This window comes from Homo sapiens, chromosome 1 (genome assembly GCF_000001405.40).
Source record: "Homo sapiens chromosome 1, GRCh38.p14 Primary Assembly".
Lineage (NCBI taxonomy): Eukaryota > Metazoa > Chordata > Mammalia > Primates > Hominidae > Homo > Homo sapiens.
The window spans coordinates 214282817-214308522 of NC_000001.11; the positions used below are offsets into that span (position 1 = coordinate 214282817).

A 25706-nucleotide genomic window follows, 5' to 3' on the forward strand; every position below is an offset into this window, starting at 1 on the left:
ACTTTGCAACGTTTGAGTGAAGTGAGCATTGGGTTTTCCCAAAGTTAAAAAGGCTGCTGTGACTGGTCCCTTGATCTTCTGAGCCTTGCTGTGGCTCGGAGTCTGCAGCAGCGTGGGTGTCTGCAGTGGCAGGAGCAAAGCAGGTCAGGCAGCACAGAAGGAGCCTCCATCAGGGATCCTGGCAATTCCTGGAAGCCATCGCCTAAGACCATGGATGCCAGGCACATAGTAGGTGCTTACTTTATATGGGTAGTTGCCAGCCCTGGCCCCCAGTGAATGAAAGATCAAATCCCTCTGGATTTAGAAGGGATGAGAAGAACTGAGAGATGCTTCTCTTTAGCTTTAAGTCTCCTAATTGTATCTACTACGCATACCCCCAACCTTAGAACATTAATGGATGGTCAGATGCAAGTTCACAAAGCATTCAGCCTGGATTATTCTGCCATATGTGACAGTTTGCTGCCTCTTTTGTTGTTAAATTTTTCTGATTGACATTTATTAGTGTTACTCACTGTTGCCTTGGGTCCCTCACCAGGGCTGCAACTTGCAATGGGGTGTTATTACAACTTGCAAACCACTTCTCTGTTTGATTTCCCTGACCTTATGTCAATACCCGTAGTTTATTTCCTCTCTCTCCCCAAAGAATTATTTGAAGTCAATTAAAATAATACAAAAGAAATAATATCCATGATACTTATGCAATTAGAAATATCCTTGTACCCTACTTCATGATTTCTATTAAATCTGAATCATTTACTATTAGTGGTTAGGTCATCTGATAGATTCAGCATCAGTTCCTCTGTCAGCAATTTGTATATGACTTAGGACAAATCAGTCTGTCCAGATGTATGAGGGGAACGTGTATTTTCCTCCATAGGGCCTCAAAGTATAGGAGTAGAATTCTGGAAATGTTCATACTTACAGGTCAAAATCTGCTGCCTGCCCCAGCTCCACACACCCAAAAGAAAGCTACCCCTTATCCTTTCTTTTGCCAGAAGTTTAACATAAACAATACTGCTTAAGATAAATGAATGACCCAAGAATTTCCATGTCATACTAATTGTATCAGGATCTAACTTTTTTTGAAGAAAAGAAAAGTGATTTCTTTAGGTAGGAATAAGTATATGCTATAAATTGAGAAATAATGGAAAATGTCTTAAGTCTCAACAGAATGGGATTCTTACGGTCAGGGCAATTCAGACAAAGGTTTGCTTTGGGGAATTTTTAATTTGTATCACATTTCTCAGTCTGGTGGGTGCCATTGGAGAACATGCGTATCTTGCCTGAACTGCTAGAAGGCAGCTCCTAATAATATTATATAAAGTTTTTCCACTTGGAAGCTGTCCCTATCAGACTTCTCAGATACACTTTATACACACATACACACATAAATGCACACATACACATTTTGGCCATTTATCACCATTTTTTGGTGTGGTTTTTTTTTTTTTTTTTTTTTTTGAGACAGAGTTTCGCTCTTGTTGCCCAGGCTGGAGTGCAGTGGCGTGATCTCAGCTCACCACAACCTCCACCTCCCCGGTTCAAGCAATTCCTCTGCCTCAGCCTCCCGAGTAGCTGGGATTACAGGAATGCGTCACCACACCTGGCTAATTTTGTATTTTTAGTAGAGACAGGGTTTCTCCATGTTGGTCAGGCTGGTCTCAAACTCCCGGCCTCCCAAAGTGCTGGGATTACAGGCATGAGCCACTGCGCCGGGCCAAGTATGTTGTATTTTAAACTAAGTTTTAGACTTTTTTTTTTTTTTGAAACAGTCTCGTCTCACTCTGTTGCCCAGGCTGGAGTGCAGTGGCACGATCTTGGCTCACTGCAACCTCCGCCTCCCGGGTTCAAGTGATTTCCGACTAATTTTTGTATTTTTAGTAGAGACAGGGTTTCATCATGTTGGCCAGGCTGGTCTCGAACTCCTGACCTCAAGTGATCCACCCACCTCAGCCTCTCAAAGTGCTAGGATTACAGGCGTGAGCCACCGTGCCTGGCCTAGACATATTTTAACCCCCAATGTGATTTGTCTCAGAAGGAGAGAAATCTGCTTTAACCCAGTGTTCCATCTAAATATTCATTCTATGTGCCATTCTTCAGGTAGGCAGATCTTTTGATCTTTAGTCTCCCTTTTGATCTTTAGTTCTCTTGGCTCATGGGTTATTTAAGGATGAGATTATTGACATTTCTTTGTTTGTTCTGAGTGTAGGGGGAACCAGGAAAGCCCATTTAGCCTCCTTGGAATAGAGCTGTTAGAACCCAGTTTCAGTGAATTTCGGTCATGTCTGGCTTAGATTAGTTGTTTTAAAAATTAAATTGTTTGCCTGAGCCAAACCCTGTGATTAAGGTGTCCTATTTCAGCAGTTATAAAGGCTTTTTTTCCTCATGTCCCCCAGATTTATTCTCTAGCGTATTCATCTTAGCTTTCCTCTTGTTTTATCAAACCGGCAGAATAATTTTTAGTTGATCTTAATCAGTATTAAGGGCCATGAAATCCTGATGCTGTTTTCCTGAAGTTCTCTGAACTAGCCCTGGTTCTGGCTGCCTGAAGCTGTGCATGAGAAGGGGACCTTGTGCCCAGGACTGCTATGACTCTGGCTCTCCTGAGAATGCTTTGAGAGTTGTTTTGGGGGAGAAATGGCTTCAGATGTATTTAAATCATCATGTTTTCTGAATAAAAAAATTGAATACATGCTCTAATAAAGGGGTTCCCCTTCTTTTTTAGATGTATTTTTATAAAATAGGTGGTAAGACTAAAACATACATACAACAGATTTCCTGTAAAAAGTGCCATTAAAGAATGCAAAATTCAGCTATCTGTATGTTAGGTAAGGAAATGGCTGTTTTCACTTTCCACCTTTCAGTATTTCAAGGTTTCCATGTACATTAATGCATAACTTAATGACAGGGATATGTTCCAAGAACTGCCTTAGTAAAGCAGTTTGGTCCTTGTGCCAGCATGCTAGAGTGTACTTACACAAAGCTACGTGAGAGAGTCTACTACTCACCTAGGCTGTATGGTATAGCCTGTTGCTCTTAGGTTACAAACCTGTACAGCATGTTACTGTACTGAATACTGTAGGCAGTTGTAACACAATGGTAAGTATTTGTGTATCCAAACATATCTAAACATAGAAAAGGCACAGTGAGAATATGGTATCACAGTCTTATGACCACCTTTGTTCACGTGGTCTGTCATTGACTAAAATGTTGTTAGTGCATGACCTTATTTCAGTAGAAACCGCAAAGCAGGGACTTTGTGGCAGGTGGACTGGGTTTGAATTCTGGTTTCATTCTTTCCTGATGGTTTGTCTTTAGGCCAGTTATCACTTAACCTCTCTGAACTCCCAGGTTCCCTTATCTGTAAAATGTGCGTACTAATGCCAGTGCCGTTAATCCCAGGACTTGGTAGGCTGAGGTGGGAGGATCGCTTGAAGCCAAGATTTTGAGACCTGCCTGGGCAACATAGCAAGACCCCATTCGCTACAAAAAAAATTTTATTTAGTTTAGCCAGCTGTGGTAGCCTGGGCCTGTAGTCCTAGCTACACTTGGGTAGGCTGAGGTGGGAAGATCCCTTGAGTCAGGAGGTTGATGCTGCAGGAAGCCATATCACTTACTCCAGCCTGGAAGACAAAGTGAGACCCTGTCTCTTAAAAAAAATAAAAAAGTGTGGACTGGGCATGGTGGCTCACACCTGTAATCCCAACACTCTGGGAGGCTGAGGCAGATGGATCACTCGAGGTCAGGAGTTTGAGACCAGCCTGGCCAACACAGTGAAACCCTGTCTCCTCTGAAGATACAAAAATTAGCCAGGTGTAGTATAGTCCCAACTACTTGGGAGGCTGAGGCAGGAGAATGGCTTGAACCTAGGAACCCAGGAGGCAGAGGTTGCAGTGAGCTGAGATCACGCCACTGCACTCTAGCCTCCATCTCAAAAAAAAAAAAAAAAAAAAGCGTATGAATACCCACCCTACCAACCAAGCTAAGTCAGTACAACCCTAGCACATAGTGAGCCATCAAAATCACTCTGATCTCTCTTCTTTTTTTTTTTTGAGATGGAGTCTCACTCTGTCACCCAGGCTAGAGTGCAATGGCACAATCTCCGCTGTTCAAGTGATTCTCCTGCCTCAGCCTGGTGAGTAGCTGGGATTACAGGCATGCACCACCATGCCTGGCTAATTTTTGTATTTTTAGTAGAAACAGTGTTTCACCATGTTGGCCAGGCTGGTCTTGAACTCCTGACCTCAGGTGATCCACCTGCCTTGGCCTCCCAAAGTGCTGGGATTACAGGTATGAGCCACCACGCCTGGCCTGATCTCATACTTGTTTGATGAACTCTGCTGGCTAAATGTTTCTAACTTAATTAAATTGTGTGATAAAATATTATAATTTTAGGGGCGTTTTTATGGAGTTGTGGGGAGGGGTGAACACTGGGAAGGAAATACTGGAAATTGTTGACCAGTGGAGTCACCATTAAGCTGGCCTATTGGCTGGGCGCGGTGGCTCATGCCTGTAATCCCAGCAGTTTGGGAAGCCGAGGCGGGCGGATTACCTGAGGTCAGGAGTTTGAGACCAGCCTGACCAACATGGTGAAACCTCATCTCTACTAAAAATTCAAAAATTAGCTGGGCATAGTGGCGGGCGCCTGTAATCCCAGCTACTTGGGAGGCTGAGGCAGGAGAATCGCTTGAACCCGGGAGGTGGAGGTTGTGGCGAGTTGAGAGTGCGCCACTGTACTCCAGCCTGGGAGACAGAGTTAGACTATGTCTCAAAAAAAAAAAAAAAAAAAAAAGATGGCCTGTTGACCCATAGCCACAACCAGCAGTTCTCAACCTTGGGTTCCCCAGAATTAATGATGGGGTCTGGGATTAGTTTTCAGTATTTTTCAAAACCTAATGGAAATAATATAATATACCTACACAGGTAAACCTTCTTCAAAAAAGAGCCTTTTCTCACTCCAAAGTCTTAGGCACTTTAATATTCTTTTAATAAGAAAAAACAAATATTTATAGAGAGAAATGGAAGAAAACAGAATTTTCCACATTGCAAGGATATCAGGGTTCCTTCTGCCTTTTACTTTCAGCACAATTGTTTCAACAGCAGCAAGGAGCCATCCTTTAAGACTTCAAATGTGCCAGTAACTCACGTTATTTTTCATATGCGGGGAACATAATTTCTGTTATAGCTTATAGGGGCTCAGTGACCAAGCTGCACGTTTGGAACCGATTTCAGATGAAAGAGACAGAATAACAGCAGGATATCCTGAAGTGAAATTCAAACCCTGGTGAGTTAAAACCACCATCTAACACCTTTCCCTCCCGAAGCAATTGCACAGAATCCTCTCAATCAAAAAAAATTCGAAGAACCTGTATAAAATGGCATTTCTTTAAATCATATTGCTCTTTGCAGCCCATAAAGCATTTCCAGATACATTCTTATTTTGATCCTTCCAAGGATGGCTGGTATACACAGGGCCTTATTCCATTTTACATAGAAAGAAACTGAGTGTTAGAGAAGTTAAGTGGTTTCTCTGAATTTCACACCTTTTTTGTCAAATATTTATTGAGTGCCTCTTAAAGGCCGGACTCCATGACCTTCAAGGATGGAGCCAAATCTCCCTGTTCCTCGTGTGATCTTCCTGTGCCCCCCTTTGGCCTGAACCTACTGTGTGGTTCACCCAGGGACTTCACCCTACATTACTACTGTGTGGTTCCCTGGAGACTGGGGGCTTAATCCGTCTCTGATATCTCCTTGATTGAATAGAATTTATAATTGGCCAACAATTTAACAAACGAATGCATTGTTTAAAGAATTATTTAAAGTTTTAAAAAATGTTTGATTCAGCCATCTTAGATCTATATTTTATGCTGATATGGACTTAAACATGTTGTTTTTATTATAATGCTTTGAAATTTGCATAAGAGCTACACATATTCTTTTATATGTATGAATTATTATGTAATAAAACATAAAAAGAACATGAGGCTTTGGTCCTTTTGTAGGCTTGGAATATTTTTAATATTACGCTAGGACTAAACCAGAGTTAGTCATCTCAGCCTTTATACCTACATATAAAGAGTTTGTTTCTGTGCCGTGTGATAGGGCAGCATCAGCCCATAGTCTTTTTTTTTTTTTTTTCCTTAAGCAAATCCATTCTTCAGGATCTCTCTCTGCAGAAGTTAAATCTCTTGAGTTGTGGAAATGGAATTTATGGTGCAGCTATAGGAGGCAGCCCCTGGTTGGTATTCCTGTAGAACAGGCAAGTTGCACACCACCTGTGAGAAGGTTCTTGTAAAAATATGTTAAATTTCTTTGAGAAGATCCAGGGCTCACTGCTATAGTTTGGCAGGAACCTGGTCTTTGGGAGAACTCAGAATTGGTGAGAATTCAGGACAGCAAAATTGTCTCTTTTAGGATTTGATATAGTGAGAGAATTGCAAAGGAAGTTTCTACTGTATTTGGGTGTTTTAGGCTTACTGCTTTGAACTTAGGTTAATATTCCCTCCTCTTTTCCCTGTCAGTATAAAAATATGAAATAATTACTGTTTTATGCCACTTTATTTCTGTCCTCGAAGGAAGCAATCAATAATTAAAAGCATGCTTTGTCTTCCTGGAGTCATGAATAATTAAATTGACTCCCCCCATCCACACACATCTTTTTTTGGACCTCAGATGTAGTTGAGGTAATCATACTTCTGAGTTCAAGGCATGCTTTTATCTGGTATATGCAAGGCAAATTTGATTTTTCAGAATGTTCCCTCTCATTTCCTGCTCTTCTCACAGACAGCTCCTCTATGGGTTTGGTTACGTATCTTTGAATACATGTGTATGTGTGTCCTGATGATCACTAGGGAACTAGACACACCTAGAACAAGGCACCCTGATTTTACTTGGCAGATTCAGACCTTGAGCTCTCTTCTGATCCTCCTGCTCACTCAGCGTTTTTCTGTGGCTGTGTCAGGGCAGGGGCCCCTGCACTGGCCCCTTCCTCCTGATGAGTGGCCTGTTCTGACACTTGAGGGAGGCAGGGCATTTTGAGGTCTCCTTTGCCTCTCAGGAACTTGCATTGTTAGCCCACCCACATCCCCAACCTTCACTTCTTTGGATTTCTAGGAAATCTGCAGTAGTTTAGGGGTGCAGTCCTTTGGCAGGGAATTAACTGAAGTACCTGCCTTTTCAGGGGTTGAACCCATGACCTTGGCCTCATTAGAGCTCTAACCAGTCACAAAGCACACACCTCACTTTGTGTAACTTCTGCTGACTTGTTCCTGCCACCCTCCGCGGCTTCCTATTCAATTGCAAAGGCGTTCACACCAACACAATAGAACAGAAGGAAATCAGATCTCTTCAAGACTTCTCTGAAGGACAGAAATATGCAATTTAGCAGGAAAATAATACAAAAAAGTCTTGAAGGTTCAGGAAACAACTTATCTTTCTAGTCCGTACATTCGCTGAGAATCCAGCTGTGTCTCTCAGATTCTTTTTCAATCAAAAATTTAAAAATAGCGTGGAACTCCTTGTGTTAATTTATTAACATAAAATCTAGCGACTCTTGTACATGAAGTGGAAGGTTTCGGATGACTAAGTGGAAATATTGTATGTATGTTATTAAAATGGATTGGGTTAGCTTTTATAGAAAAAGTGGATCTGAGAATTCATAAGTGCTTATCTTTGGCAAGTTTATAGTCCCTAGAGATAAAAATGAATGCGTGCTATAATAACAAAGACACTGTTGTGTCTTAGTGAGTGCACTGTGATGCTCAGGGTGTGTTGGTGCCCAGGGGACGCGGAGTCACCATGGAGGAGAGGAGAAACAAGGACAACTCCCTAGAGAAGTGAAATTCACACAGGGCTTGAAGACCTGAATGTATCTTGGGGGAGGGACGTGGTAAGATAATCTGGCTGTCCAAAAAGATACAGGTTTTTATTAGAGCCAAATAAAAAGCTCAAGGATTTTATGTCTTGGCACTTGGAAGGAGTTATGTTGAAATCTGTGTTCTGTTTAATCTGAGTACCAAGAAAGACTCTTCAGGGATGTAGGTACTGGCTCATATTTTTGATGAGATGGGGATTTTTCTTACTCTGGTGATGTTTGGATAGGAAACATTTGCTCATTTGCCACCTGAAAAATCTCTTCTCTGTCAATTCCGTGAATCCATGGTACAGTGACAGTTGCTGTTCACAGTGATAGCCTCATATGCTCTTAAAACCTCACCAATAAGACACATTTAATTATGAGCCAATAGTATACTCCCTAAGGGTAGGAATTCTACTTTTTAACTCAATCAAAAACATTTGTATTTGTGGACACTTAGTGGGTTCTATAGTTCTGGAAAACAACTCCAAAGAAAAGGAACAAAAATCCCTACCACCACGGAGCTTATTTTCCAGCTTTTATTCATCTTTATTTTACCTCCAGTTCCTTGAACTTTGTAAGGCTTCAGCAGATGCTGTATAAAAGGCAGGAAGATTTGTTCTTTTTCTTTCTTCTGGTCATCCAGGTATGTCATGAAGAACATTCTGTTAACCAGAATGTTTAACCATGTTGGGACTCAGAAAATGATACCCCGAAGTTTGGCCCTTTGGCATACAGAGCACTTTCCACTGAAGGGGGTTGGAAGGGCCTCAGAAGCGAAGACTCTGTGACCTACCCTGCCCCTCAGTCTATTACCATTATTAGCTCATACCCTTTTGTCCATTCTTCATTGAACCTCAGCATAAAACTAGGCAGTTTTCCTTGAGTTCTTGAGTTATTGGGCTCTCATTTTGAAGGCTCTTGTTTTACGTAAAAACTTTGACTAAATACATTTGTTATGTTTTTATCTTGCTAGTATGTCTTTTCTTCCAGGGGTGTTGGCCACGACCCTTATGATGGATGAGGAAAGACATCACATCTTTCCAGTCCTACAACTACAACACCCTGTCTCATGACTGACACAAACTAAGAGAGAGCTTCGATCAGATACTACTTAGGTCCAATGAATTGGCAACATCCCTATGTTGGTTAAAATAGCAGCAGCTCTGGGTAGATATATTTTAGAAGTTAATGAAATATGGCCTACCCATACACCTGAGTAAATATTTTAAACAGCACTCTAAAAAAACCTTTAGGGTTTTTGTTTGTTTGTTTGTTTGTTTTTTAACTTTAAAACATTCAGGTTAACAAGGAAGTAGGGATTTAGGAACAATCTATTTATTTCATCCAATATTTAATTGATTTCTGCACATGTTCCAGCTTTACAAGGCACTCAGCTACTAAATATTTTCTAGGGTGAGAGAGAGAGAGAGAGAGAGAGAGAGAGAGAAGCCCACCTCTCTTGATCTTCTCTGTCTGTGAATCTGAGGACGCCCCTGATAGAACTCCATGGTAGAGTCGGGGCTTCCTGATGGACACCCTCAGGCCAAGCCTCAGGAGCCATATCTGAGTCTAGCTTGCTCTGCTGTGTTATTTTCACTCTGGTCATCCTAAATTGTTTATAGTAATGAATGCACACATATACACACATGCACACACATATATGCACCTTGCTGATTCTCCTCTCTATGTCCCTCTTTGCCTGGCTCACTCCTTTGGTTCTGAGAAATCTGTCCTGATTTCTGCAGTCTGGATTAGTTCCCTTCGTCTTTGCTCCCACAGCACCTCATACAAACTTCCTTTATCACACTTGCTCCTTGAATGCATGAACTAGGTCTTACTCATCTTTGTAACCCCAGCGTTTAGCAAGAAGACTAGCCTCTGTTACTGCAATAAATATTTGCGAAATATATTAGTCTCATTTCTGCATCTTATCTTACTAGTGGCCCTTTGCATAGGCCTCATCACCTCTCTTAATATGCAACTGTTCATTCTTGGAAATGAATCCTTGTAAATACTCTCAGAACTCTTCATTGACTCCCTGCTTTCTTCAGGACAAGTTCCCTACTAAGTGCCCCTCCCATCGTATCCAGCATTATCCCTCACTGCATTTTGACTTAGACTCCAAGTTCAATTTGGGTGGTCTTTGCAAAGCTGAAGAATGTCATTCTTCATTCTTCCTATTGTCTATTTGTCATCTAGAGTACTTTTCTCTGTAATATTTCCTTCCTTATCCTCTGCCTCCTTCCTAGGTAAGGCCTTAGAGCCTTCAGTTTGTTTATACTCAAGAAAGATCCAGCTCAAATTGCATCTCTTTCCAAAGCTTTATCTTTTTCTGTTTGTGTGTGTGTGTGTGTGTGTGTGTGTGTGTGTGTGTGTGTGTGTGTGTGTGTGTGTTTGAGACAGAGTCTCTCTCTGTCACCCAGGCTGGAGTGCAATAGCACGATCTCTGCTCATTGCAACCTCCGCCTCCCAGGTCCAAGCGATTCTCCCGCTTCAGTCTCCTGAGTAGCTGGGATTACAGTCGCTTGCCACCACGTCTGGCTAATTTTTATATTTTTTCATAGAGATGGGGTTTCACCATGTTGGCCAGGCTGGTCTCGAACTCCCGACCTCAGGTGATCTACCCACCTTGGCCTCTCAAAGTGCTGGGATGATAGGCATGAGCCACCGCACCCGGTCCAAAGCTTTTTCTTAACTACTTCAGCCCACACAGCTTTCATTTTATTTATCGACTTGTTTGTATTTATTTTACAATAATTTAATATTTACATTTTTTGAACATCCTACTATTCCAAGCATTGTGCTCTCACTGTGGAGTTTCAGAGATGAATAAGACAACATGCTCAGTAAGTGCTATTTCCCTAACTTCTGTATCTTCAAAGAGCTCAGTCCTAGGGGTAGCTTTCTGCTCTCAGTTCCAGGTCGTGTGGGCCATTTGGATGCTGAATCATTTTGCCTGATATTTATATTTACCACTCTCATGTAGGCAGGGCAGATTTCCCCAAATAACTCTTTTTTTGAGATGGAGTTTTGCTCTTGTTGCCCAGGCTGGAGTGCAATGGCGCGATCTCGGCTCACTGCAACCTCCGCCTCCCAGGTTCAAGCATTTCTCCTGCCTCCGCCTCCCGAGTAGCTAGGATTACAGGCACCCGCCACCACGCCCAGTTAATTTTGTATTTTTACTAGTGACGGGGTTTCTCCATGTTGGTCTGGCTGGTTTTGAACTCCTGACCTTAGGTGATCCGCCTGCCTCGGCCTCCCAAAGTGCTGGGATTACAGGCATGAGCCACCGTGCCCAGCCACTCATTTTTTTTTTTTTAACAAAAATATTATTTCCCAGTATGGCTGTAGCACAGTACTTTTGTACCTAGCAAATAACACTTTTGAATAGAAATTACTTAGCTATGATAGATTAACATGTCTTCTTACTGCCTCATGTGCAAGGTTTTACAGTATTAAAAATGTTCTCCGTTCAGAGAAATACAAATGGAATCAATAAGGATTGAAAGAAAAATGTCTGCTAAATCTGTTCAAACGGTATCCGATCAGTTTAAGTTTTCAAGGTAAAGTCCACAATTCGGGGTAATTCGCCTAAACAAATTGGTAATTCAATTTTTTATATTTTGTTTGCAGGAAAATAAAACTGAGGGGATGAGAGAATCTCAACTCTTAAAATTCTTCTGTAGGCAATTAAAAAGATAACATTTTCCAGGCCAGGCGCGGTGGCTTACGCCTATATTCCCAACACTTTGGGAGGCCAAGACGGGCGGATGGCTTGAGGACAGGAGTTCAAGCCCAGCCTGGCCAACATGGTGAAACCCCGTCTCTACTAAAAATACAAAAATTAGCTGGGCGTGGTGGTTCATGTCTGTAATTAATCCCAGCTGCTTGGAGGCTGAGGCAGGAGAATCTCTTGAACCCGGGAGGCAGAGGTTGTAGTGATCCAAGATTGTGCCACCGCACTCCAGCCTAGGTGACAGAGCAAGACCCTCTCTCAAACAAACAAACAAAAAACACACATTTTCCTGTAAGTAAGATTCAGAACAGTTCTGTCTGGACAGGTAGTTAACACATGTTTTGCTGCAGCAGACCTGACCATGTTCTGGGAACTCACAATTAGCATTAGACTATAAAGGAATTTTTACCATGGTTTATTTCTGTTTTACGGACAGAACGTTGAAGTGAGGAATACTGTTAGGAGTATTTTAAGTTTTCAAGTAGTTAAATTTATATTACTTTGGTTTTGTCATTTTCTTTGATTTTTAATCACGTGAGTTTTATGCAACAGCAAGCATAGGGGAATCTAATAATATTGGTATTCATTACAAAGTACTAATAGTAACATCTGTCATTTAACTGGAAGAAGCGGTGGATATTATTTTATTGTCAGTTCCTTTATGAGAGAACTGAGTTAGAAAGGCATTCGTTGTTTCTTTGCTTTTGACTTTTCAATCAGAGGGCATTAGAGAAGTAAAGATAAAAGTAGCAAGGAAGTGTTACTCTGACCTTGCACAAAAGTTAAGACAGAGCATTTCCAGAGGAAAACATGAGATTTTAAAAGTGTGTACATTCATTCTTTGGACGAGCTTTAACTGTTAGAGATTGTGCAGGGCCTACAAGAGGAGCTTCGGATATAGGTGTTGTCCAGGGGCTGAAAAGGAAATGTAATGTTCACTGTTTCACAGGCTAAATATTTCTCTCCTATATTCATAAGCTTCATGAATTTTTTTTGCTTTCTAAGGCAAAGGTAAATTTTGTCTGGGCCAGAGCCTGCATGAAAACAAATCTGTGTTATTTTATAACTAGGTCAGCCATTACTCTGACCACCAAGCCCAGCTTCCTCCTTGTAAATTACAGCTCCGGTTCCAATAGTTGGGAAAACCTATTAGTTGCTACCTTACTGCCCTAAATATTTCCTGCCTCCCCAAGAGGATGCGGGCTCTAACTTTTAACAAGCCTCAGAACAAAGCCTGGTGCTGAGCGAAGGTTCAGCACAGCCCTGGGAAGAAGCCCCCCGCTGCACGTGGGTCCCGTTCACTGTTACATTGTGGATTAAAGTGATGTATGGAGCACCTTTCAGTATTACAGAAAAACCTGTAGCCTGAGTATTATCCTTGTCCCCTGACCAGGGTTATAATAGGGTTCTGCCACAATTCCTCCAATTTTTATTTCTCTTAAACAAGATTGGAGGCCTTGCTAGTATAACCACCCTCGCTGGGTGGGAGGCTAACTTTGTTTCTGATTGTCTTATTTCAACCTATGGTGAAGTTATATTGCACTGCTGGGGCTTTTTTCCCATTCTCTTTTTCATTTGGCTGGGGCTGCCTCTGTTCAACAGAGCATACTTGTCACTTCTTCTGTCACCATTAGTTAAAAGTAATTGTTATTGCAAACCCCCTCTATGCCAGTATCATTTTCTTTCATGGTGAAACCCACTAAGCATTCATTTCAGTAGCAGAAAGTAGGGAGCTTACAGAATCAAATCCTTTTGATCTAGACCAACAGCACCTGCGGCAACGCATTAACTAGCAGGAGTTGTTAATTACATTTCTAACTTGTTGATCTTCATGGTTTCCGATTTTTAAAAGCAAGGAAATTAATCACTGTGTGTGTCTCCTCCAGTAGGAAATGACAGGAGCGTGTCTTCTAAGTTCTGTTCCAGTCAGTAATAATCAAATACTTGCATTTTCCTGTAACATTTCTTTTCTTCCTTTGTGGATAGAACTATTTCTTAAGTTCAAAGAGCCCTTCTGTTCACAGTAGGGTAGATATTTGCCCATAAAACAAAGGCTTTAGAAACATAGATCCTCTAGCTATGAGTCTGAGTGAGACTGTGCTGATGGTATTTCAACAGTTGACATCACTTTAAAAAAAAAGCACAAAGACTAATTAAAAGTGTAGTAGTACCCAGCATTTATTGAACGTTTACAGTGTTCTAAGCAATGTATTAAATGTTTTGCTTGCATTTTCTCATTTAACTTTCATAGCAAACCTATGAGGTGGAAACGATATCTTTATTTGACAGTGAAGGAAACTGAGGTTCAGAAAGGACTAGTAACTTGCCCAAGATCACATAGTACATCAAGTACCAGAAAGAAAAAAGGATTTGAGAGAGGGAAGTGGGAAGAGTAACTCATCATATTCATCCTAAATTGTGAGACAGGAATCAAGAAGCAGCAGAACGAAAGCTGAGGTTTTCTTTCTTAAAACTTGCACCTGCTTCTAGGATACTTGATCTTAGGTTAGAAAAAGACAGGGTCAGCTACTTTATTCTTATGTAAATGTTCATCATCAAGGTAGTTAAACAACCTGATCCATCCTGTGATTCATTCTTAAGAATCTCAGAAAAATCTAAACAATCTGCCTTGCAGAGTGCTTCAACTGTATACAGCAATTTCCACACGAAAAAGCCACTCCACCCAAATGTGTTACCATAGGCCTGTGGCTCCGCATTCTAGAAGCACACTGGAATCTCCTGGGAGCTTTCTAAAAGTCCTAGTGCCTGGGCCCAACACATACCAATTGAATGAGAACTGATGATCCCTGCCCCAGACAACCAAGGTTGAGAACCACTGTGAGAGGTTATTAGTGATTCACTCTACACTTCTTTTCGCTCCATTCCTTTGGGGGTTATTTCAGGTTTTTTTTTTTTTAAGGAAATTTTGTTTTCTTTATTTTGCTCAGTCTTTTCCCAGACTTCCTGAACAATTCAGATCAGATTACATTGCAAATGAAAAATTTACGACTGTGTCTTTTGTAGGAACGGAGTTTGTTCCAAATGCTTTGTATAGTCCTACAGCGAAAATGGATAGCCCATATGAAGTTTCTCTCTGGCTGTAACTCCTCAGTCAGCAATAGTCGAACACTCATAGGATCTCTCTCCTCTCTCAAGCACATATACTGCACATACACAGTGCAGGTACCAGCTCAGCAAGTTTTAGTTTGAATTTCAGCCATGAGACTTATGAAGAGTTTAAATCTCTCGCTAGCTCTGGAAAGAACTGCAGCACATATCTGAATAATTTAAACAGGGCTTCATCCCCGCCTCCACCCCACCACCTCATCTAGAATTGCTTAAACCAAAATAGATCAAAGGCGATTCTTATGTTATTCACTATCAGTAACAGTAGCTATCAAAAACTGTTAGCTTTTCTTCTCTGCTCTGAAGGCAAGCTGGCCCAAGAAGACCTATGTTAAGAAAATTCACACTGCTGAAAGAAATTAGAGATGACACAAACAAATGGAAAAACATTCCATTCTCATGGATTGGAAGAACCAATATTGTTAATATGTCCATACTGCCCAAAGCAATCTACAGATTTCAACACTATTCCTACCAAACTACCAAAGTCATTTTTCACAGAATAAGAAAAAAACTTTTCTAAAATTCATGTGGAACCAAAAGAGACCCCAAATAGCCAAAGCAATCCTAAGCAAAAAGAACAAAGCCAGAGGCATCACATTACCCAACTTCAAATAATACTGTAAGGCTATGGTAACCAAAACAGCATGGTATGGTTACAAAACAGAGACATAGACCAGCAGAACGGAATAGAGAACCCAGAAGTAAAGCTGCACACCTACAGTCATCTAATCTTTGACAAAGTCAACAGAAATAAGCAATGGGGAAAGGACTCCCTATTCAATAAATGGTGCTGGGATGACTGGCTAGCCATATGCAGAAGAATGAAACTGGACCCTTACATTTTACCTTATACAAAAATTAACTCAAGATGGATTAAATATTTAAATGTAAGACCTCAAACTGTAAAAATCCTAGAACACCTAGGAAATACCATTCTGGACATTGGCCTTGGCAAAGGACTATGACTAAGTCTTCAAAAGCAGTTGAAACAATACTTGAAAGTGGGACCTAATTAAGCTAAAGAGCTTCTGCACAGCAAAAGAAACTATCAACAGAGCAAACAGACACCCTACAGAGTAGAAGAAAATATTCACAAACTGTGCATCTGACAAAGGTCTAATATCCAGAACCTGTGAAGAAGTTAATTCAACAAGCAAAAAACAAGTAACCCCGTTAAAAAGTGGGCAAAGAAGACATACAAGTGGCCAATAAACATGAAAAAATGTTCAACATCACTAATCATCAGAAAAATCCACATCAAAACCACGATGAGAAACCATCTCACATCAGTTAAAATGGCTATTATTAAACAGTCAAAAAATAACAGATGTGGCTGTGCATACTGGCTCACATCTGTAATCCCAGCACTTTGGGAGGCTGAGGCAGGAGGGTCACTTGAGACTAGGAGTTTGAGACCAGCCTGGGCAACATAGCGAGGCCCTCATCTCTACAAAATAGCAAATTAGCCGGACATGGTAGTGTGTCCCTGTGGTCCCAGCTACTTGGGAGGCTGAGGTGAGAGGATTGCTTGAGCACAAGAGTTTGAGGCTGCAGCCATAATTACAAGCCATGATCATGCCACTGCACTCCAACCTGGGCAACAGATTGAGACCGTGTCTCCAGAAAAATTAAAAAATAACAGATGCTGGTGAGGCTGTGGAGAAAAAGGAACGCTTATACACTGTTGGTGGGAATATAAATTAGTTCAGCCACTGTAGAAAGCAGTTTGGAGATTTCTCAAAGGACTTAAAACAGAACTACCATTCGACCCAGCAATCCCTTTACTGGGTATATACCCAAAGGAAAATAAATTGTTCTACTGAAAAGACACATGCACTCAAATGTTCATTGCAACACTGTTCACACTAGCAAAGACACAGAATCAACCTATGTGCCCATCAACAGTGAACTGGATAAAGAAAACATTATATATATATATATATACACCATAGAATACTATGCAGTCATAAAAAAGAATGAAATTATGTCTTTTGCAGCAACATAGTTGCAGCTGGAGGCCCTTATCCTAAGCAAATGCAGAAAGAGAAAACCAAATACCTCATGTTCTCACTTCTTTGTTGTTGTTGTTGAGACAGACTCTCTGTTGCCCAGGCTGGAGTGCAGTGGCGCTGTCCTGGCTCACTGCAACCTCTGCCTCCCGAGTTCAAGTAATTCTCCTGCCTCAGCCTCCCAAGTAGCTGAGACTACAGGCGCCCGCCACCACGCCCAGCTAATTTTTTGTGTTTTTAGTAGAGACAGGGCTTCACCGTGTTAGCCAGGATGGTCTTGATCTCCTGACCTCGTGATCTCCCCTCCTCGGCCTCCCAAAGTGCTGGGATTACAGGCGTGAGCCACCACACCCAGCCATGTTCTCACTTTGAAGTGGGAGCTAAACATTGGGTATTCATGGATGTAAAGATGGCAACATCAGACCCTGGGATTACTAGGAAGGAGAGAGGGGAGGGAGCAAGGGCTGAAAACCTATGTATTGGGCACTATGCTCACTACCTGGGTGATGGTATCATTTATATTCCAAACCTTAGCATCATGCAAAATCCCTATGCAGCAAACCTGAATCTAAAATAAAAGTTGAAATTATTATTTTAAAAGAAAATTTACATATAACCAGGTATTTGGTTCACTGAGCATACATGTAGTAAAATCTTCCCTAGAGCCAGGCAAAGCTTTTCAGTTTTTAGTGAGGAGTGCGGTGTTCTCTCACCAGGTTCCTAGAGCACATGATCCAGCTTGGACTCTCCCAGGATCTGTTGGAGAAACATGTAGGCTCACGATACTGAATGAGAGGAGGGACCTTCTATGTACACAATAAATACATCAATCCTTGTTTTCTTACAATCTGTTTCAAGTGAAATGGGTTCCTGGAGCACAATGGGTTGAGAGACGCTCTTCTGTGCGGATGTTCCCTCCCCATATCTCATTTTGAAAAATGATCCTGGATCCCCTCCCCATTGCATCTTTAAAGCAAAGTGACATTAATGGGATACCACTGGAGCCGGGGCATTATGCAGACCAGAGTAAAGCATGCCTCTCCTATGCTTTGTTGTTACTATTAGCTTATCCACTCACGTAGAGAGACTATTTTTGCTGCGTGGAGTCTACCCTCCTGAACCATTGTCACAGCACTCAAGGAAGGATGCTTCGGCGTGATGGAAACAAAATGTGTGAATTCCAATTCTGCCACCTAGTTGCAGAATGACCATGTTAGATTAGTTGTTTCATGTCTAAGATCCTCATTATCTTCATTTGAAAAATAGGAATAATAATAGCTTCTTCTTAGACCTGATGAGATTACTAAAATAGATCAGCAGTTTTCAAACTTTCTGGTTTCAGGGTCCCTCTGTACTCTTAAAAATTATTGAGAACCGCAGAGAGCTTTTGTTTATATGAGTTATAGCAATCATTATGTATCATATGTCAAGTTAAACAGAAAATTATGAAGGTTTATTCATTTTAAAATGACAACTATTATGCTAACATTTTTCTGTGAGAAATATCTTCCAAAACAAAAGAATTACTGAGAATAGTGTTTTTGTTTTAAATTTTTGTAAGTCTCTTTAATGTCTGGATTTATAGAAGACAACTGGATTTTCAAATATGCTTCTGAATTCAGTGTGTCATGTTATGTTTTAGTTGGATTATGTAGCAAAAATAAAGCTTCACATAGATACGTAATTGGTAAGAGAAGGGTATTTCGATACCCTTCTCAGTTAAATGCGGATGTTCTTATTTGATTAATCAGTAAACTTTGATAATTGATGTTGTCTTAAAAGTTGTGATGTGCAATCAGAAGCCATATTGTGAACTTTATGTACTCAATGACATAAAATCCATTGGTTTACCTTGCACTTGGAATGACTTTTTTGCTTTTAAAACAGTGTCATTGGCCATTTGGAAAATATTAGTTACCTAGATTGTACAGATCTCCTGAAAATTGACTCATTTTATCAAACCATATCAAAAAATCATAATTCTTAATATTACCACTAGTCTCATCAGATAAGTCTTCAGTATTGAGAAGCTGTCAAGCTTAGGATGGCAGATCTATGTTTTCCAAAATGCTAATTTTTGCTTGAAAACTCAAATTTTATCATTGGCAACAAGTGTTGTTTTCCTGGAAGTGACAGGCTCACTTCATTCATTTCAGTAATATATCTGCCAAATGCTCAAGTCTGAATAACCACAGTTTATCTAAAACTGTTCTTTCAAGTTAAAAAAAAAAAAAAAAAAGCCAGGAATTTTTCCAAGAAGAAAGTGGCTAGTTCAGTTTACAATGCCAGTGATCACACCAGTGCTCTTCCATGAGATACCCACTGGACTTCAATATGAAGCAGAAATACTTTTTGCATTCTTCCCACTTCACTATACAATGCCAAAGACATATATACTTAAGAATCGAGATTTAGTAAAGTTAATATTCATTACTGCGTCGTCAGGGACATTCGTGAGACTGGCTTTCACCCTCTTACTGCCAGTGTGGCAGTAAAGAATACAGTGTTTCCAGCCAGGCGCGGTATCTCACGTCTGTAATCCCAGCACTTTGGAAGGCTGAGGCTGGTGGATCACCTGAGGTCAGGAGTTCGAGACCATCCTGGCCAACATGGTGAAACCCTGTCTCTACTAATACAAAAATTAGCTGGGTGTCATTACACATGCGTGTCATCCCAGCTACTCAGGAGGCTGAGGGAGGAGAATTGCTTAAACCCAGGAGGTGGAGGCTGCAGTGAGCCAAGATCATGCCATTGCACTCAAGCCTGGGCAACAGAGCAAGACTCCGTTTCAAAAAAAAAAAAAAATACAGTGTTTCCTGAGCTTTGATTTACGCTTAGGCATCTGAAGGTTTACTACCCTTCAGGAACCTTTACGCCTTACGCCTCACACCTTCTGCATTGCAAATGTTAAAACAGTGAGAAAAAAAGCAAATAATCTGAATTCTGTCTCTCACCAACTCCCTGAAAGGGTCTCCGGGACCCCAGCAGTCTGTAGACCTTCTTGAGAATCACTGAGATAGGTAGTAGAAATGACATATCATATTGCCAAGACTGAAAAGTTAGCCTTTACTTCCTGCTCTTTATTATTTGTGGTTGTGGACTTGGTGACGAGCTGGTTCAAATGAAGGCCAGCCTTTGGTAGAGGTATTATTTTGATGAACTCTCACTAGAGTTCTTTCTTAGTTCCCTAGAGCCTAGTTGCCTACTTTCTCCTTGGGATGTTACGTGGAGACTGCAAACAAGTGTTGGTTTCAGGTTAACTTTACTACTGGTTTCTGTGCAAGAAAACCTGTATTAATCCTTGCTTTTTTTGTATGTTGTGGAGCTAATAAATGTCTTTTTAACCATGATAATTTTCTAATCTCTTACATCAGGGGGTCTTAACGCTGGTGTCAGAGGCTCTTTGCTGGTCCTACATATGGGCTTTTAGGTGGCCCCTGAGCCTTTAATTTTTTTTGTTGTTGTTCAGCATTTAACAGCTCAGCAAAGCCCTTGAAATTTTACAGACTTCTTTTGTTTCATTAGGGTTGGGGGAGAAGGTGGGTTATTAGAGTAAGTTAAAAGCTTCAGCCAAACTCTCAGAGGTCTCTAACCTGCCCCCCATAAAAACAAATATTAAAGATGACTTTTTGGATAGACATTTTTAAAGGGTAGCATCTCCCACCGTTACCTATTTCCTGACACACCTCTCTGTGGAAAGAAGTTTGCAAGCTTCCTCCCTGGCTCTGCTGTCTTTGCTTTTCCTCCCCTGGGCATTTCTGCACAGTGCACATCACGCAGCGCTTGCTGACGAGTCACTTCACCGTGATTTTTTAGTGCATTTCCCGAGAGAGCAAGGGTCTGTCCATCTTGTTTCTTCTATATTCCAAAATGCAAAGTCAGAGTTCAGTCCCTTCAGATATACCCTAGGGGATAGGGGGAGTATTTTAGGCCAGAGAATACATCAGCTAAATTAGCGGGTTCCTTTTTGAACTATTGAGGTCTGCAAACTTGGAATATTTATTTATGCCTCAACCCCAAGACGCGTTTTTCTCCCACATTCTTCAGTCTGCTTCTTGGAATCCAAGTGCTGTCATGAAAGCTGCAAGGCAGTCTGTTTAGTTCCAACAGCAGAATTTTTGGAAGACTTCCTTAATTCTGTAGGAGGAGTGTGGTGACTACCACTTGCTGACGAGAAGCCGCGGAGGATTCTGCAGCGTGACAATATGTATATCCGTATTATAAGATGTCAGCCCCCACCGCGCACGCCCCCGCCCCCGTCAGCTCTGCTGGGCTGCAGAGGAGGGGGGACGAGGTGGCACAGGGTGGCTCTGCGGCAGTGTAGCCGCTTCGTGCTGTCGGTATCTCCACAAGTCCAGAAGCTGGCTTCACCGGGGTGGGCAAGAGTTCGACAGCAGGTTTTACCGATTGCGCTCTGACTTAGACAATGTAATTGTTCCCCACTTGGGAAAAAAGTAAAGAGTTTTGTAGTATGTGGCTTAATTCAGTGGCTTTTCAGCTTTTGAAAAAGCTTTGGTTCATCTCACACAATACACACGCGAGCACCTAACAGTTGGGAAGCAACAATGTCCCTGTCCTTTATGGGAAGCAGGAAAAATAATATAACAATGAATAAGTTGAATCGACCCCATTATGAAGAGGCAGAAGAATAGCTAAATAGTACACTGACAAAATGGGTATGTATAGCAATCAGATCCCATAATACAGTATTCAAGAATCTATTTCTTGGTGGGGGCACGGCGGCTCATGCCTATAATACCAGCACTTTGGGAGGCTGAGGCAGGTGGATGGCTTGAGCCCAGGAGTTGGGGATCAGCCTGGGCAACATGGTGAAACCCCTTCTCTACAAAAAATACAAAAATTAGCCAGGCATGGTGGCACATGCCCTATAGTCCCAGTTACTTGGGAGCTGATGTGGGAGAACGGCCTACGCCCGGGAAGTCGAAGCTGTAGTGAGCCAGAATCATGCCACTGCACTCCAGCCTGGGTGACAGAGTGAGACCCTATCTCAAAAAAAAAAAAAAAAAAAAAAAAGCATCTATCTCCACTTGCTAGGTTGCACTTTTAAACTTAGCTTTCTGGACAACATTCGAATAGTCCTAGCATACTAAATTCCATCTTTGCATTTCTTGCAATTTCTAAATAATGAGAGTTGTCACTCACATGGGATTTTCACCAGAGTAGGTGCACCCCAACACTCCATCTTCATGGGGTCAAACCTTCAATGTGGTTTTATTTCTGTGCCTCTTTAGCAGATGAGAAAATCGGGACATAAGAACTTGAACTTGCCCTGAGCTACTGACCTGTACAGTAGTTCTGTGCAGATGATGTTCATAGCCTTGGTGTCTTTGGCCAGGTCACCAGTCAGTCAGAGCTGTTGTCCCTCATCTCTTTGGACAGTGCTCTTCATACTGGTGGGTTTGGTAAATGTGAGTGCATGCACTATTTGACTCACTCACTCCTCAAGGGCTGAATCTGGTCAAACTCTTAAGGAACATGCACCTTCTCAGTGGGAGAGTAAGGTAAGGTGAACCTTGGCTCTGCTTTCCAACCAAGTGGCTTTTGTTGTTGCATGATAAAATGTACAGCTTCACGTTTCTGTGTCTGTCACCACTACAGTGCCCTTTCTGTTTTTAAGGAAAGAAGGATTGTCCAAATGTGGAAGATGCAAGCAGGCATTTTACTGCAATGTGGAGTGTCAGGTAGGTGCTGGGCCATTGGCAGGGAGGGCCTAATTTCCTCTGAAGTCCTCCTCTTCCTTGTCATGGCATTCCTCAGCGCCCTCCTGGAGCCAGAGCTGGAAAGCATAGGATGTGGCTGGATATCCTTGGATGTGTGCTGACCCCGACCTCACAGGCGGCCAGTGATAGGCAGTAAACCGTTTGAGGCCGCATGCAGGACCAACATCGAGGTGCAGGAGAAGACCATGTTAGATACAGGCAGGTGTGCTAGCAAGTCTGCCCCAAGGACTGCAGCCACAGACGGAAAATGCAGAGTTGACAAATAAACAATATTAAAATGCTATCTTTAAGTTTTTAACGTTTTTATTGTTGTATTTTTATAAATCCCTCCATAGCAGGCTACATCTTACCCTTGGGCTGTTTGAACCTAACCTGCTTGCAGTGAGACTCAGATGATCCCCTAGTCCAGCCTCTGTATAGCCAGAGGGGGGGCTATTCTGAACTCGTAATTGGGGCCAGTGCCTCAGGAGCAGCCAGGGCTGAGGGGTTCAGCATGGATGAGTCTCAAATGAATCCTGAAATGTAGGGATGGGAAGGTTAATAAGGAGGATGTTGGAGGAATTCTTGGTAGACTCTTTGAGGGCCTAAGAGTGGTATTTCCCAAACTGTTATAGTAAACACTTGTTCCACAAAATGTTCGTAGGTATTCCACAGAAAATGCATTTCATGTTCAAACAATTTAGGGGAATGTAGTCTCTTTACTTCAGAACCTGTTATAGTCTTTAATACACTAGTATGGCATTGTGAATTTCTAAGCCTTCTTGTTTGATCTCTCTGGACACCCCGTGGCATTTATTTTTAAAGGGAACCTATTAATACACCTTGAGAAATGGTGATGCTGTTAAAGGGTGGCTCTACGGGACAGGGAAGATTTTCTCTATAGCTGCATCTCTTTTTGTTGTTCCATACCTGGTGTTGTCCTTCCCCCATCCCCACCCTCCAGCCCCATCCCCGGTCTACTTTGGATTACCCACTATTTCATTTTTTTTTCTTTCTCACCTCCCTACACTGTTGGCTTCTGAAAGGCCTCAAAGAGCATTATTTAGCAGTGGGAGAGATTGCTAAGCCCTGGTGTCTCATCTGACTGTAGCGCCCCAGGGACAGCGGCCCCTCCCCAGAATGAAGCACAGGCTGAGACCTTGGCTTGGGAAGCTCAGACTCTGCCTTAGCTCTGAAGACCATATGCACCGTCCCCTTCCCTGTGTTTCCCACAGCAGGCTCCCGGAGGCTGTCAGCCTGTGTGGCAGTGAGAATATAAATGGAGCTTGTAGTTGAGTTTTCGGGGAGGGTGCCTTCTTTTGAAGAGGAAAGATCATACTTTGCTCCTACCAATTGTAGATAGAGTAGTGCAACGGCATTGTAGAGATCAGCAGCCCCTGCGACATATATGGTTTGATTCCAGGCCTGCCAGATGAGTTAGCTGTTTCTATATGTAAGTTAAACACTTCTAGAAAAATTAACTCATTCCGTTCTGTAGCAAAGCAAGCATAGGGAGTCACATGTAGTTCAGATCATACAGCATGGAGTAGCAGGAGGCCATGGTCCCAGGAGCAGGTCCTGGCTCTGCTACTTACTAGCTCTATGAAACTGGCAAGTTATGGCTGGGCGCGGTGGCTCATGCCTGTAATCCCAGTACTTTGGGGGGCCAAGGCAGACAGATCACCTGAGGTCAGGAGTTCGAGACCAGCCTAACTAACATGGTGAAACCCCGTCTCTACTAAAAATAGAAAAAAATTAGCCAGGCGTGGTGGCGGGTGCCTGTAATCCCAGCTACTCTGGAGGCTGAGGCTGGAGAATCTCTTGAACCTGGGAGGCGGAGGTTGCAGTGAGCCGAGATCGTGCCTTTGCACTCCAGCCTGGGCAACAAGAGTGAAATTCTGTCTCAAAAGAAAGAAAGAAATTGGCAAGTTACAAAACATCCCTGAGGCTCAGTTTCTTTAAATCTGAACTAAGCACAATGGTGCCCACCTTGATGAGTTAGGGACCACATGATGTGATAGATATTAAAGTTTTATATAAGCTGTAACCCTATATACAGGTGTGAGGAGTTAGTATAAACATATTACAGTCCACAGGAAAATCGAATTTGTGTAATTCAGGCTAGACTAAAGCTTAGCTTTATGCAAAGAAATAAACAGCATAGTTTTGATTTAAGGGGCTTGGTTTTTCAGCCTGAGAGAATGACTGGATTCTAAGAACTTGAGGGTGCTGATGGTGTACATTGTGTGAATAAGGCTTATTACAAAATGAGTCTTAACTCCTTTAAGTAGCTGTGAACAGTGTATTAATGAGTACCATCAGAGTGTGTGGCATGTGGAGTTAGCTCCGAGTCTGAGTCTTCTGAGCACGCTGCTAAACTAACTTGTTAGGCCTCATGAGGTGGCAGTATTTTGATGAATCGTCATGGCCCACATTGGGATTTGAGATGCCCTTTATGGTTTCCCTGCCCCCAGGACCTAGAATCCCAGATTCGCAGACCCAGAGACCTCATTTGTAAGCGTGCAATGAGGGGTGTCCTCCCTTGGGGGAGGCTCACATTAACCAATATCCCAACCTGTATGTGCCACAATGCCAGTTTATTACTCTACAACAAGAAGTTGAACAGTCTAGATTTCCTGCCCTTGAAGACAAAACTGTACAGGTGGCCGCCTCATAATGACACAATTACTTGGGGAGCAAGGAACCCCAGGATGGAGGAAACAGTTACGGGATTCTACTCTTGCAAGGCTGCAGGCCAAGAGAGCCTGCTGTGTCCAGCCTCATGATGGAGTTTCCCCTGCTGCTCACTCAATTCCCAGACAGGGGCACCCTGAGCACCGGGGATTACTTCTGTAATTCTGCTTTCCTGTGCTTCTGTTAAGTATCTGGTGACCAAAGTACCCTCCTAGGAGGTGAGTGGTACCGCAGCTCCTGAAGTCTCTTGTTTCTAGAGGTGGCAGGCTGGATCTGACCTGTAAGTTTCATTTTTGTTTCATCTGTCTCCCACTGCTGAAGGAAAAGGCTAATGACCATTAAGGTTTTTCATCCTTTAGTACTGAAGAACTAAATAAGTGTGGGCAGTGTATTATAAAGAGATAGAGCAGGCATAAAGGTTTAATAAAAGTAAGTGCCTAGAAATAAAGGGTAGCACAAGGGCTTCGTAAAGGAAATCATTAGGGAGGAATCTGGGGCATTTGCTCCAGATATAAATGTGTTCAGGGTTCGGCTTAAGGGAGTGCTTGCATGGGATCAAA

At 42.1% G+C, this 25706-nt stretch overlaps 1 protein-coding gene across 3 annotated transcripts in view, besides 1 other annotated feature; it reads left to right on the plus strand.

Moving 5' to 3' along the window:
• The window catches only part of SMYD2 (SET and MYND domain containing 2), a 55973-nt gene that overhangs the window by 1658 nt on the left and 28609 nt on the right, over positions 1-25706 (plus strand). For 2 of the 3 annotated variants that reach the window (NM_020197.3, XM_047425702.1), the window contains exon 2: positions 22371-22434. The exons of the other annotated variant lie outside the window; for it this stretch is intronic. In NM_020197.3, coding sequence (NP_064582.2) covers positions 22371-22434 — 64 coding nt within the window. The remainder of the gene's footprint in view (positions 1-22370; positions 22435-25706) is intronic. 3 annotated transcript variants of the gene reach the window in all.
• Positions 19372-19507: a silencer, noted in NCBI's record as "fragment chr1:214475531-214475666 (GRCh37/hg19 assembly coordinates)". NCBI's record gives its function as "represses an EF-1alpha promoter that drives an FKBP-Casp9 reporter gene in an ReSE screen in phorbol 12-myristate 13-acetate-treated (for megakaryocytic differentiation) K562 erythroleukemia cells {active_cell/tissue: K562(+PMA)}" and the evidence as "EXISTENCE:reporter gene assay evidence [ECO:0000049][PMID:32094911]".